This window comes from Homo sapiens, chromosome 7, assembly GCF_000001405.40.
Source record: "Homo sapiens chromosome 7, GRCh38.p14 Primary Assembly".
In the NCBI taxonomy this organism is placed as follows: domain Eukaryota; kingdom Metazoa; phylum Chordata; class Mammalia; order Primates; family Hominidae; genus Homo; species Homo sapiens.
The window spans coordinates 38,030,039-38,044,860 of record NC_000007.14 but is presented as its reverse complement, the minus strand read 5'-3'; the positions used below and the strand labels follow the sequence as shown (position 1 = coordinate 38,044,860).

General features: G+C 34.2%; 1 long non-coding RNA gene across 1 annotated transcript in view, besides 1 other annotated feature; it reads right to left on the bottom strand.

Moving 5' to 3' along the window:
- Positions 1 to 725: 725 nt before the first annotated feature.
- LOC105375236 (uncharacterized) overlaps positions 726 to 14,822 on the bottom strand; it is a 40,878-nt gene continuing 26,781 nt past the window's right edge. Inside the window, exon 3 of the long non-coding RNA XR_001745170.2 lies at positions 726 to 1,361. This is a non-coding gene — a long non-coding RNA (uncharacterized LOC105375236). The remainder of the gene's footprint in view (positions 1,362 to 14,822) is intronic.
- Positions 11,947 to 12,147: a silencer, noted in NCBI's record as "peak6492 fragment used in MPRA reporter construct". NCBI's record gives its function as "represses an SCP1 promoter by STARR-seq MPRAs in K562 erythroleukemia cells {active_cell/tissue: K562}" and the evidence as "EXISTENCE:reporter gene assay evidence [ECO:0000049][PMID:32103011]".

Genomic DNA, 14,822 nt, shown 5'->3' with positions numbered 1-14,822 from the left:
CATAAAAATGACCAATAAGTATATGAAAAATGCTCAACATCACTAATTGTTAGGGTAATGCAAATCAAAACCACATGAGATATTCTCTTATCCCAACTACGGTGGCTATTATTTTAAAAAAATAGCAGATGCTGGTGAAGATGCAGAGAAAAGGGGACTTACACACTGTTGGTGAGAATGCAAATTAGTACAGCCGCTGTGGAAAACAGTATAAAAATTTTTCAAAAAACTAAAAATAGAACTACCATACAATCCAGCCATGCAACTACTGGGTATTTATCCAAAGGAAAAGACATCAGTATATCAAAGGGATACCTTCACTCCCATATTTATTGCAGTACTATTCACAATAGCAAAGATGTGGAATTAACTTCCATCCATCAAAGGATGACTGGATAAAGAAAAGGGATATATATATATATATATATATATATATATATATATACAGATTATATATACACATATAAATGTATATACAGATTATATATACACATATATGTATATACAGATTATATATATACATATATATGTATATATGTATATACATGTATATATGTATGTATATACATGTATATATATATAAAAGGGATATATGTGTGTGTGTGTATATATATATAAAAGGGATATATATATATATATATATATATATATATATATATATATATATGTAATGCTGTTTGGTCATACAAAATGAAATCCTGTCATGTGTAGCAACACAGATGGAACTAGAGGTCATTATATTAAGTGAAATAAGCCAGGCATAGAAAGAGAAATACTGCATGTTCTCACTTGTTTGTGGGAACTAAAACAGTTGATCTCACGGAAGTAGGTATTAGAATAGTAGATAGCTGAGGCTAACAAGGGTATGTGGGTTGAGGGAAGATGAAGAGAAAGGTTGGTTAATAGGTACAAACATACAGTTAGATAGAAGAAATGTTCTGATGTTTGACAGCAGAATAGTGTGACTATAGTTAACAACAATGCATTGTATATTTCAAAATAGCTAGGAGAGAGGACTTGAAATGTCCCCAACACATAGAAACGGTAAATACTCTAGGCGATGCATACCCAGAATACCATGACTTGGTTATTCAACATTCTATGCATGTAACAAAATATCACAGGTACCCCATAAATATGTACAAATGTCATGTATCAATTAAAAAATTCTAGTCATATAGATTCACTTGCTCAAACACAGCCAACGTTGCAGATGCACTTGTAAGGTCACGATTCCAGATCACACATATTTCTTCTCGATGTCTTTTTATATTCCATGACTCTGTCACCAACGGCCAGAACTGATATCTGACAAAACATTTTGCCATGTGACAGAAATCCTTTTTAAGGAGAATTGCAGACTAAAAAAAAAAAACAAAAACAAACCATGTCACTAACAGAAAAGTCTGCCATGGATATAAGAAAGTCTGCAATGAAAAGTCAATAAAGTACTCGTTTTTTAAGGAGCATAAACTGTGGGACATTAGGAAAAACAATTTAAAACATACAAAAATTCTACTTCTAAGAATTTTGACACATATTTCCTTAGTATAAAGATATATATTCAAAAAATCAACAAAAAATAATATATGACAGAAAATTGGTTAAGAACATTCATACTCCATACAACAGAATACTATGTTATGATATTTCTTAATGTAGATCGATATTAAATGTTTTTGAAAATATTTAAAAGAGTATCAAGTGAAAAAAATAAGTCATGAAACATACCGGGCTGGTTAAAGTTTTATAAAATATATTCATATGTTTTTATAATATCTGAATAGAGATACATCAGTACGTAAAAGTGGTGATGACCTCTGAATGGTGGGGCTTTAGGCAACACTATTTATTTATTCTCTACTACTTTTAATTATTCTGCAATGAATTTGGATTGTTTATATAATAAATATGCTGAGTGCAATAAAAAAGGATATTTCCCAGCGCCCAGTCCTTAGTCACTATGAAATGAAAGTAGGTCCATAAATTTGTAGAGTAACCTTGTGGCCTTTCTAACTTTTGTGTAAAGTACCAGCTCCTTTGCTTTGGAAACTCCTGTCCTACATTAAATGCCAGATGGGTCAACAGAAAACCCTTGATGGCCTTAGCTTTTACTGTAAGTGAAACGACCTCATTTTAACATGTAGTTTGAATAAAATTTACAGTCTAGATATAGAATGATTACCTCCTCTTGTTTTTTTTTAATACAATCTCACTCACATCTGTCTGTGGGATTTAACCTCTTCCTAGTTCCCTCTTTTTATTAAAACATTTTCTCCTCAACACGGACAGGAATACTCATCACCACTCACTGAATTCCATGATGGAGAGTAAAAAGGCTTTTTTTTTTCCCTGCATATTTATATCATTCAATACAGTCAGAATGGGAACATGATCTGTTTCAGAAATAGAAAATTTTCTGTGCATGTGTACTTGTTTTCAAGAGAGAACGTTTACTTATTTAATGCTTTACAGTACACTCAGAACTAATCCTAAGAGATGGGTACATTTAACAAGTAAAATAAATAAAGCATAAGGAGATTTTTGCCCATCAAGCTAGAAAAGGGCAGATCAAAAAAGACTTGATTGAGCTCATATCTTCTGATTCTAAAGTAAATTCTTTATACTATATAGCAATGATCAATCAAGTGTATACTTCATAGAAAGCAGTCCAAAACAGCTGGTTACAAGCATAGCCTGAGGTTATGTGCCTTAAGGTTGCTTCAATGTGTTTAATTGCATTTTAATTATTCACTGCTGATTTTAAAACAAAAGACCAGGAAGAGAGGCCATTTCCTACATATTTAGCTTAAACTATGCAGTGTGGCATATTCTGTATTCTGTGTCCTTTAGAACTAAGGCAGGGCTATATTTTCTCTAATAGCATAATCTAGTGTACTTACCTTTGCCTCCCTCTTAGTATTAGTTATCTAAATACTGAAATATGAAAACTCATAAATACTTCAGTTTTAATAACATATAATTATATAAAAAACCACTAAATTTAAATTTTTTTACTATAAGAGAAAAGTTATCTGTCACTATTGATTTGTTTCAGGTTTTTCTTCAAGAGGTTGAGTTGATCGTCTATAGGAGCACCAAGTAGTGATATTTACATAAGGAGAAAGAGGTCTAATATCCAAAAATGCCTTTACTCAAAGTCAAGTGGCGGAAGTTGCTGATCATAAGAAAGCAAATGTGAAAATGACCATTCTTCCACATATTGAATGTATACTGTAGGCTATGTGCTTTAGGCATTATCTTTAAACCTCACTGCAATAGTGTTTGACAGGTGAGGGAAGCAAAGTACAAGATAAAGAATACCCAACTCAACAAGCTGAGAAATGGCAGAGTCAAGATCTTAGACAATTTTTGATTGATTTCAAAGTCCCACTTTCCATGAAACTGAAGAACCCCTATAATTCCACCCGGCCCCTACAGTAATTCCTATGCTTTTCCCAATGTTGTCACATAATAAATATTTTACATATTTGTTGCTGAGATAGCAATTAAAACAAGTGTTTATCATTATATTCACATGTATGGCCAATGGGAATTTCTGCAACACACAAAAATCTAAAAGACATGAAATTTTTGTTACTATAAACATAAATCCTGCATATTCTTTCCTGAAAGGTGTAATACAAAATATTTAAACTTGCTGATTGAGAATAAAGAAGTTTTCTGTTCAGCTTTGAATCAATTCCAAACCAGTGAAACTCTTGTGTTGCGGTTTGAAACAAAGCGCTGAAATGATACATGTCCCTTGCTAGACTGTAAACCGCAGTCCCTCCATTCAGATGACCTCAAGGCCTGACCAGAGAGTACTCAGCTGCTTCTTCCGGTTACCTTTTTATGCTGGCTTGTCCTTAATATAGCTAATGCTCCCCAGATGTATCAGCCACTGGCCCTCTTTAACCCTTGCTGGTCTCTCATGCCTCACTGACTGCTTTTCACAGAAAATGGAGAAAATAGCACATCTTTTCAGTGCCCTGGGGGCAAGGCAATGGCATGTAGGAAAACCTACCAAATGCATGGGTTTTTATTTTAAAGATTTTAATTTTGATCATTTCAAAAATGTAAAAAAAGGATCAGATAATAAACCCCCTATATGCCATTATCTAGCTTCAGCAAACTTGTTTTATGTATACCCTTACTCGTATTCCCCATCCCAAATTATTTTGCACTAAATCCAGACATTTTACTTTATAAATAAACATTTCAGTACGTAACTCTAAAAGGAAAAATTATTTTCTTTTGACATAACAACAATACCATTATTATACCTTAAAAATTTAATTCCTGAATATCATCAAATATTAAGTCATTGTTCAAATTTCCAATTATCTTTTTTTTTCTTTTTGAATAAAAGGAAGAAAAGTACACTTGGAAGAGGGCCAAGTGAGCAGCTTGAAAGACAAGTGACTCCAATTAACTTTTTAGTGTTACAATTTTTTCTAGTTTCTTTGAATCAGGATCCAAATAATGCCTACATGTAATCCTTAATATGTACTTTATACACTTTTTAAATCTTTTATCACCTATTGGTTTCCTCTTTCCATCTTTCTTTCACCCTTGGCAATTTATTTGCTGAAGAAACACAATTATTTGTCCTGCAGGATTTTTCTGCTTGCAACCCCATAATGTAGTTTAACATGTTCTCTGTCCTTTGTATTTTCTGTAGTTAGTAATTGCATATAGAGGACTGATCAGATTCAGGTCTGCTTTTTCTGAAAAGACTCCTTTATAAGAGGTGCTTTGTTTCTCCATCAGGAGGCATCAGATATCTGGTTATTTTTCCCTTTTTGATATCGGCAATAATTGATGCTTCATGCCTACATCCATAATTCATTTTGAGTTACAAAAAGGCACTATGCCAACTCTATAATTTATTTTTCATTAATTTGCTGAAATGCCACAATAAAGAAAATCTTGCTCTTGTCTACTATTTGATTACCCAGGGGTTCTGTTGTCTATGAGTTTTCAAAATAATGAGTTGGTTCATTAATGTCTCCCGGTTACTAACCAATGCTTTTTCAGTATTACTTTGAACTCACAGGTTTAAATTTATTTGATGTATTTCAGTCTTTTGCAGTTTTTCCCTAATTGATCCTCATATTACCTCATCTTTGACAGTCTCTGTTAGTTGACTCTCAAGTCTTTGACCTAAAGCTAGTAATCTTTGATAGCTTCCTTGTCATCTGGTGTGACAAGAGTTTCCAAGATGATCTTGTATATTTCCTGTCCCCAACCTGGCCGTAGCCATTTCTCTGGGGAGCTCTGGTTCCTTTTTGAAGGAAATTGGATTTCAACACCAAACTTTGAGTATTGAGGGCACTTAATGCTACCGAGTGTGTTAGTATTTCTAGGCCTTTTCAGTTGAAAAATTAGAATTTTTTAAGCAGAAAATGTCATCAATTTAATTGATATTTCAAATTAAGGAGTAAAAGGTCCTACTGAAGACAGCTTTTCTCAAATGAGCTTAACTACAAAGCAAATGCTGAGGCTTATAGTGTTGATCGTACAGTCACCATGGTTGCTGCATCCCAAGGACATGGTCACTTCCTTAACTACCTAGCCTGCCTGACTACCACCTATATATTATTACTGAAAACTGTCTGTACTTTCTGTGGATGACATGGTTTGGCTGTGTCCCCACCCAAATCTCATCCTGAATTGTGGCTCCCATAATTCCCACGTTTTGAGAGGGACTTGGTGGGAGATAATTGAATCTTGGGGGTGGGTATTTTTCATGTTATTCTCGTGATAGTGAGGAAGTCTGACAGGATCTGATGGTTTTATGAAGGGGAGTTTCCCTGCACAAGCTCTTTTCTCTTGTCTGCTGCCATGTGAAACTTGCCTTTCACCTTACACCATGATTGTGAGGCCTTCCCAGCCACATGGAACTGTAAGTCCATTAAACCTCTTTTTGTATGTGTGTGTGTGAATTGCCCAGTCTTGGGTATGTCTTTATAAGCAAAGTGAAAATGGACGAATACAATGGAGTATTTTTTTTGTCCTTAGGGAATATATCATTAGAGATGTACAGTTACACACTATTTTTTAAAGTTACTTGGATTAGTTATTTTCTGTGTGATTATGCCAACAACTAGTTACACATTTATATTTATTTATTTTATTTAAATATTTTTAGGAATTTTTAAAGTGCACTTTTTATCATGTAAAATGCTTACATGGTTTCAAAGTCAATTCTGTAAAACAAGATATATTCAGTGAATCCATCTCCTATCCTTGTTCCTTCACCCTACTCACTCTGTGCCCTTAGAGTGAGATAGCAACATTAGGATTGGTATGTATAACTACTACATACTATATTTTTTATTTTATTACAATCACATATTCATAGTGCTACAATTAACTATATACCAATGCTCACCACCAGACCTTAAGTTGATACATTTCTAGTCATTTTAATTGTCTGAAAGTTACTCTCTAGGAGATACTTCAGGAATAACTCATTGGATGTCCATAAAAGTTTGGCTTTACACTTGAAAACCAGTTATAAAATACTTGGCTCAGATTTTCTTTTCTTTTTTTTTTCTTTTTTCTTTTTGCTTTTTATTTATTTTTTATTTTTTTTTGACGGAATCTTGCTGTGTCGCCAAGGCTGGAGTTCAGTGGCACCATCTCGGCTCACTGCATGCTCCGCCTCCTGGGTTCACGCCATTCTCCTGCCTCAGTCTCCCGAGTATTTGGGACTACAGGCGTCTGCCACCATGTCTGGCTAATTTTTTGTAATTTTTTTAGTAGAGCCAGGGTTTCACTGTGTTAGCCAGGATGGTCTTGATCTCCTGACCTCGTGATCTGCCCACCTCAGCCTCCCAAAGTGCTGGGATTACAGGTGTGAGCCACTGCACCCGGCCCAGATTTTATTTTCTAGTTTTCTCTAGAAGGCATAAAGTATTGCTATTGAAAATTTTAAACAGTCTAATCTATTTGTTACAAGTGACTTAGATAGTTTGTACAAATACAAAAATAATTCATTAACTTTTTTAAAATACTAATCATTTTAGTAGAAGTTTCTCAGTGTTCTCAGTCTACTTTCCCAAATACATGATGTGACTTGTTAACATATATATATATACACACACACACACACATATACATATGTATACACACTTAACTTTAGGAAAGTTTGTTTTTAATTATAGATTTTTTTCATATTTCTCTAACTTCATTACTTGGATTTTCTTTTTATTATACATATGTTGTTTCTTCTTTTCGTATCTTCTATAAGACCAAATGTGTCAGAAGTTTCCAGAGGGCTGATATCTGAATTGTGCCCATCAGTAACCCAACTTTGAGTGAGAAAGCAAATTTTTGTGAACATAGTCCAAGTATAGACACGATTGACAATAGGGTAAGTTGAGTGCATATTCTCTATGACTCAGACAACCAGCAGGCTGTTTCCTAGTAATCTTATGTCTTCTTATTTTGTTAAGTGGTCAAAATAAAAAAGTACATGAAAATTGCATTTGAGATTATACAGAGTTTCCAAAGTAAAGTTTACTAAACAGTCCCAGGGGAAATTATTTATAATTCATTTCTAAGCAAAACTTTGTTTTTCTTAAGTGCCATGTTTCCTTCTCTTGATGACAGTCATCATAACTAGGCTTTCCGTTATCCCCCCTGGCTGCTAGAAATCTTAGCCAAATTGTGGCTCAGTCTTGCAATAATAAACATAATTATGCAGAGATTCTTGTTGCATGCATGTATTCTTTAACTTGGTCCTAGCTTCTACTTCAAAGATTTTTCAAGCTTGCAGAAAAGTTGTTATACAATATTTAGTTTGAATATGTATTTTTTGGAGGGAAAGTCTGGATATTTCACTAGATTCTGGCTCCTAGAAGGGGTCTGTGATGCAGAAAGAATGTTTTTATATTCATTATTTTACTTATGAAACAGAAGCTTCTCTTCTAGTTTAATTTTAAACCCTCAATGATTTATATCAAGAAGAGTGGTTTACTTTCTGAATTTTGTTTCAACCAAATATAATTAATAATGAACTGATGAGTTTACAGTTTCAATCACTGAAAATAAAGTCATGCTTTTATAAGTCTAGACCATGTAACACAGGGAGAAAAAACACTAAGCTCTTTCACTACAAATATTATTAAGAACGTGATAAAAATTTATCAACTGGATTCAGTTTTCTTTGGAAAGAAGGTTAGTATTACATGTGCTTATTCTAAATAGTATCCTCCTTAAAATAGGTTGAGACATGAAGCACTTCAATAAAGTCACTTATTTCTACATAAGTTAATTCTATAGTCTTTTTATTCTAAATTTCTCTTCCTCCTATCATTGCATTGTGTTTCCTTGAGCATGGATACATGTCTTGCAGTCTTTTGGTGAACATTTATTGCATTGGTCACGGACTTATTACCATATATCAGAAACCTCTGGAGAAATGCTTCCATCTACTTAACCAAAAATTTAGGTCTACAAATATTTCCCTTGTTTCATGATGAAGACAAAAAACATTGCAAGATAGCGTCCTTAATAGAAGGGTGTTACATCAAATATATATCTGGCTCTTACAATGACTATATCTAAAATTTGTTAATTTTATCCCCAGCTATATTTTAATATGGTTGCTTGTTTACAGACCATAATACTCTGAGACAAACTGAGATGTAGTAACAAAATATTATCTGGAACATGGATTGATAATGTATCAAGCTTCAACCTCATCGAAGAAGAGAGTTAGACATTGGCAACTTGGAAATCCAGTGATCAAACATTAATTTATAGATGTCAGTTAGAATGTGTAGGCAGTAACCTCAAATACGTATGATGAATTATAACAAACACTACAATTCTATTATCTATCCATCTCTCTACCTACCTATCTATCTATCTGATATCTCAGAATGGGTGGAGAAAGGCATGCAGTACTTGTTAAATCAATGCTGACCTAACTTGGAAGGTATTAATTAAGTATCTCAACTAAATGTGTAATGGAATGAATTCACTTAGCTGGAATGCATTCATTTGTGTTTCACCAATTATTTATCTTTAACTATTTGTAGCAACCTTTTCAGTCTTTTTCTAAAAAATTGACTTGTGATTGACAAATAAAAAATTCTATTTATTTGAGGTATATAACATGGTGTTTTGATATATCTTGTGTAATGATTCTTACAATCAAGCTGACGTATCTATCACCTGACCTAATTATCATATTTTGTGGTAAGAATACTTAAGATCTACTCTCTTAGCAAATTTCAAGTATATGATACATCACTATTAACTATATACCATGTTATGTATTAGATCTCTAGAACTTATTCATCTTAAAACTGGAAGTTTGTACTCTTTGAACAACACTGCCCCAGTCCCCCAGCTCCCCAGCTCTGGTCAAGCACCATGCTACTCTCTGTTTCTCTAAGTCTGACTATTTTGGATTCCACATGTAGGTGATATAATGCAGTATTTGTCTTTCTGTGTATGCCTTATTTCACTTGGTGTAATGTCCTCCAAGTTCATCCATGTTATTGCAAATGGCAGGATTTTCTTCTTTTTTAAGGCTGAAAAATTTTGCATTGTACATATATACGTACGTATGTTTCATAATTTCTTTGTCTACTCATTCATTGATGGACACTTAGATTGTTTTCTTATCTTGGCTATTAGTATACAATAAGTTTGTAATTCTGTGAACAACAGATTAGCATTAAAAAAGAGGTTTGTTCACTTGAGAAATAATATTAACTTCTGATTTTGAACCCATTGGAAATACAGTTGTAATTCACATTTTCCTTGGAATAGCCTAAGAAGTTAACTCTGAATAATTTCTTCCTTCCTTGCTACTTGGTGCAATTAGATTAATCTCTTTAAAATTTAGATAATTTAGATTTGCCCTGACATTTCGAAGTATTTAGAAAGTGGCTGATGATTAAATGTTGAATAGTATTAATATATATAATTTTCCATGACATTAATAAAAACATCTAGGTAGAATTTCCCAAATCAGTTGCACTTTAAACAAATGGTTACACAGTTTTAGTTTGTTGAGTTATTCAATTGACTAGAATGAATAGTTAACTTGTAATTTGATGGACCTGAGGTGGGGAGAAAAATATTTGAGGTTGGAATTTGTTTATGTAAATTTTTAAAATAAATTGTTGAGTCAGCTTAAATGCCAAAAGTGGACTCTGACACTGACGCTCTTTTCTTTCTTCCTGCTGATTCGATTCACGGAGCCAGTGGCACTTAAGTGGCCAGATAGTTAGGTTACAAGCTTATTAAAGTAAGCAAAGGCTCACCCATTGCTTGTGGTGAGACATGTGATTTTAATTATAGGAGAGGTCAATAAACATTGATGCTATGGTTAGATAGGAGCTCATTAGAGCTTATGGCTTGCCAGTTTACACATACACAAACATAAGTACTCTGAAATAAAGGCTGGTTTCTGTATTTCTTTCTCTATTCTACCGATAATCTTCTAGAGGGATCATACAACTTCAAATGTAACACTGTATTAAAAAAGTGAAAATACAAAGACCAAACATGGACTAGCTTTCAGTTTACCTCTCTCACACCCATCCTCCAACTCCCACTCCTAAGTCTCATTGGGGCCATATTACTCAGTTATTTATCCTTAAGTCACATGATCCAATTTCTCTACTGCTTCACATTTTCCCTATCTGTACTCTAACTCCAGCCAAAAACAAAAGACAAAAACATCAAATCAAATAAAAGAAAACTCCATAAAAGTTTGGTTTAACTTCCCTCCGACTCCTCCTCTCATCAAATGAATTCCTTAGGAGTCAGATCATGATAAATAATGCTGGCTTTCAGTAGAATCATTCTACTAATTTAACAGAAATCAGAATAATAAAGATGGAAAATTGGCCGAGCGCGGTGGCTCACGCCTGTAATCCCAGCACTTTGGGAGGACGAGGCAGGTGGATCATGAGGTCAGGAGATCGAGACCATCCTGGCTAACAAGGTGAAACCCCGTCTCTACTAAAAATACAAAAAATTAGCCGGGCCTGGTGGCGGGCGCCTGTAGTCCCAGCTACTCGGGAGGCTGAGGCAGGAGAATGGCGTGAACCCGGGAAGCGGAGCTTGCAGTGAGCCGAGATTGCGCCACTGCAGTCCGCAGTCCGGCCTGGGCGACAGAGCGAGACTCCGTCTCAGAAAAAAAAAAAAAAAAGAAGGAAAATTGAACGCCGTTCACATTTTCTTATTCTTCTGCATTTTATGCTATCGTCCTAAAAAAAAAGGATCCCAGATTTTTACTGTGTCATCCCTACATCTGAAGCACAGCAGAGAAAATTTATTAAATGTAACTTATTTTTCAGTAGCCTCATCTGGCTTAATTGATGTTATTTTTCTTTTTTTTTGATTTTATTTTATTTTCAATTGACAAGTAATAATTGTATTTATTTACGGGGTACAATGTAACATTTTGATATGTGTTTACTAAGGAAGGGGAAGAAGAGCAGGCATTTGAAGTTCAGGAAAGCTTCAAAGAAGAGTTGGATCTTGGGCTGGTGTTTGAAGGAGGCTGCTACTCTTTCCCTTCTCTTCATTGCTGGGAGGAAAATAAGTCTAAGTTGGCTGCCCATACTCCTTTACTTTTCACTCTTTATTGTATCAGCATCTTGTATCTGGTTTTAGGACTCCACAGAAAATTACATTTTTTAATTACCAGAACCAATCACCTGCCCTCGATATTAATCTTCCTCGACCCCAACCTTTTAAACAATTTTCCCTCTTTACCAGTTTTAGGTGTCCAGTTCCGTGGTAATAAATATGCTTATGTTCTCTTTTTTTTCTTTCAACCATCATCAAACCCAATTAAAAATTATATGCTTACTAAATAGAGTGTGGATAACTTTTCATCTCTATTTTCTACTTCTCCATACTTTCTGTAGTCCCACTATCCAAAACTAAGCACTGCACAAAAGTTTCCAAGGCTGTGTGATATTGATCAGCTTTTTGAACACAGGAGATAGGCAGGAAGTATATGCCACGTTCTATTGCCTCTGAGTAACCATGTGCACAACTGACCATCACTGGCTGAAGGAAGGCTCTGAATCCTGCAGACAAGATATCATGTGTGGTTACAGACACCATTTGATAGATTAGATGAGCTTTCATTTGCTTTGGGCAAGCTATGTAAAATAAATCTGTTCTAGAGACTCCACCTGCCACATAGGGTGGATTATACAGTTTTATGTAAAAACTATCAGTGGGAAACAAAATCCTATTACAACGGCTAAATTTCAAACAGAACACTTGCCAGTATAATGCATGTTGATTCCCACATTGTTATCTGCTTTGGGAGGACCTGTAAAACCACAGTACCCTTAATAGGGTGAAGTCTACTGTATGTAAATTATAGCTAAACAAAAAATTTATAACTAAGTACACTGGATTCAAGAAAAGTTATACACACATCATCTGTTCATACTAAAATACTTGAAAGTACAGACAGTGTAGCAGATATAAGGCAGTAGGTTGGCTTTGCTACTTTTCCAAAATTAAGTGGCAGCAAAACAGAAAACACATTTCTCTATTTTACCAGATGTGCTTCTGTAATTTAAAGGCATCAGTAGTGGGATCCTCTGTTAGCCAAGGCTACAGGAGAAGAGAGAGAGAGAGGGAGAGACAGTGACCAGAACCTGGCAGCTGAGTGGGGTTGTTCATGAGCTCATGGGTACCACATGCAATACTTGAGAAAGAGGCCTTATGGACACTACATTTGCAGGTGGGCAGCAGATATAGGCAATTGTGTCTGTATTATAACGTTTGATGTACTTGTTTTCACAATTCTTCCCTATGGTCAGAGAAGTTTATTTAGGACTCAAAATACTCAAGGCTGTGCTATAAGTGGTAACAAATACATGGAAACAAATTATTTTTCCACTGCCCACACTCATATTTCTTCAAGGGAGATTCTGAACACAAAATTACAAAGTAGAAAATAGTTTCATCATTTTCCAAAATATGGAAAAATGTTCAAAAATACATTCATATAGTGTTGAATATAAATTGTAACTAATATGATAAGCACTTATAGGAATGCATAAATAAAATGCTTTCCCAAAGATAATGTTATCACTTTGAGTAATAGCCATTTGGTTGCTGCCTTTGCTTTTGACACAGTGATAGGAGCATGTTATGGTCTCTGCAGTTTGATAAATGACTTTCCCATCATATTTTCATTTTGTGGCTTTAGGTCAGACACCCTATTGTGACTTGGTTGGTGTGGAGGCTGGTGTTTCACTGTATTTTTAGAATATTTAGTCTATTTAGAAAGTTTACATAATTTTGGTTACAGTGACTAAAGTGACTAGGATTAAAATAAGACTGGCTTTTACAAAAACAAACTCTTATAGCATTAGAAGATGGCAGTTCAAGCCAGTGTGCTTTTCAAAGTCCTTCAGATTCCAGGATTCAGTGCTTGAGATTGCAAATAGGGGTGCCCAGGGAGAAGAGACAATGCTTTGTCTCTGTTGTTATAGGAATGCAATGTTCCTGAGAGGCAAAATGAAAAAAAAAAGTCTATTTGATCAGGGTTTTTGGTCTAGTGTAGAGATGGCAAGTGAGTTTCATTTGTTTAACCAACTCTGAAAAATTGATAGTGGCTTCCTGAAGTATTCTATGGAAAAGGACTGAGATAGAGATTTACTAGAAAAGATAGCTACCAATGGTTGAGCATTAGAAGACAGTCAGGCTATGTGTAACATATTTTGATATTTCTGTACTAATGGGAAGCCAGAGAGGTAAACTCAAATACTCCATTTCTAGCTGATCTTTTCTGGAGAGTTGATGCCATACTTCAAATCTATTGAATTATAAATTCCCTGTGGGCTGATTTTTCAAAATAAATTCTCATATTTATAATGTATAAAGATGTAAAATATACATTCACAGCTATTACCTGTATATGTGTGAATGTGTGCATAAGTTACATATATGTATGATGCATATATTGCTTGCTTTTTAAAAACAGTAAAATACTTTTAATTTTTTAAGAATTGTACTTGAAAAATCTAGTTGAGATGAAACCAACTTTTGCTTAACAGTTAAATTAAACGGTATGTTAAGAGTATTTTTTTAGATGAGATTTTAGTGAGAGTTGAAATCGCTGGAAATTATACAGAAGGGTTCCTAGATGAGCAATATGTATGAGTGGTGGTCTATATTCAGAGTCTAAAAACCAACAAGCACCTTTTCTGCCTCAATGGGTATATATCTAGGTAATATAAATTTTTAGACACTTCCAGTTGTATTACAAGTTGTTTCTAAAAGATTTATGTTCATGTTACAAAATATGTCTGCTCATGTCTTTTTTTATTATAGAAGTGAAAGTGTTAGTGTTTTCTTAGTCATTTATAAGATTTCCTTATATATGCTGGTTACCAATCCTTTGTAACTGAGAATTTCAAATATATTTTTCCAGTTTGTGGATTACTTGTTCATTCTGTTTATGGTGACTTTTGATGACAAGAAGTTCTTAATTTTAATATAGTCAAATTTCTTCATCTTCTTCTTTGTGGTTTATGCTTTGTTGAACCTTGTTTAGGAAATTCTTCCCTACTCTGATGTCATAAAGATATTCTCTTATATATGATAAATGAATTCTCAAGACACAGTTACTAAACAATCTATCCTTCCTTCAGTGATATCTGAGGCACACTGTTGTGAATTGAGTTTCCACATATGTTTAGGTATTTGTCCAGTTCTCTATTCTTTTCCATTACTTATTTATCAATTTTGGCAGCAGAATTATACAGTCCCATTTCCTACAGCTTTATAAGTCTTCATATCTGATATTGCAGGCC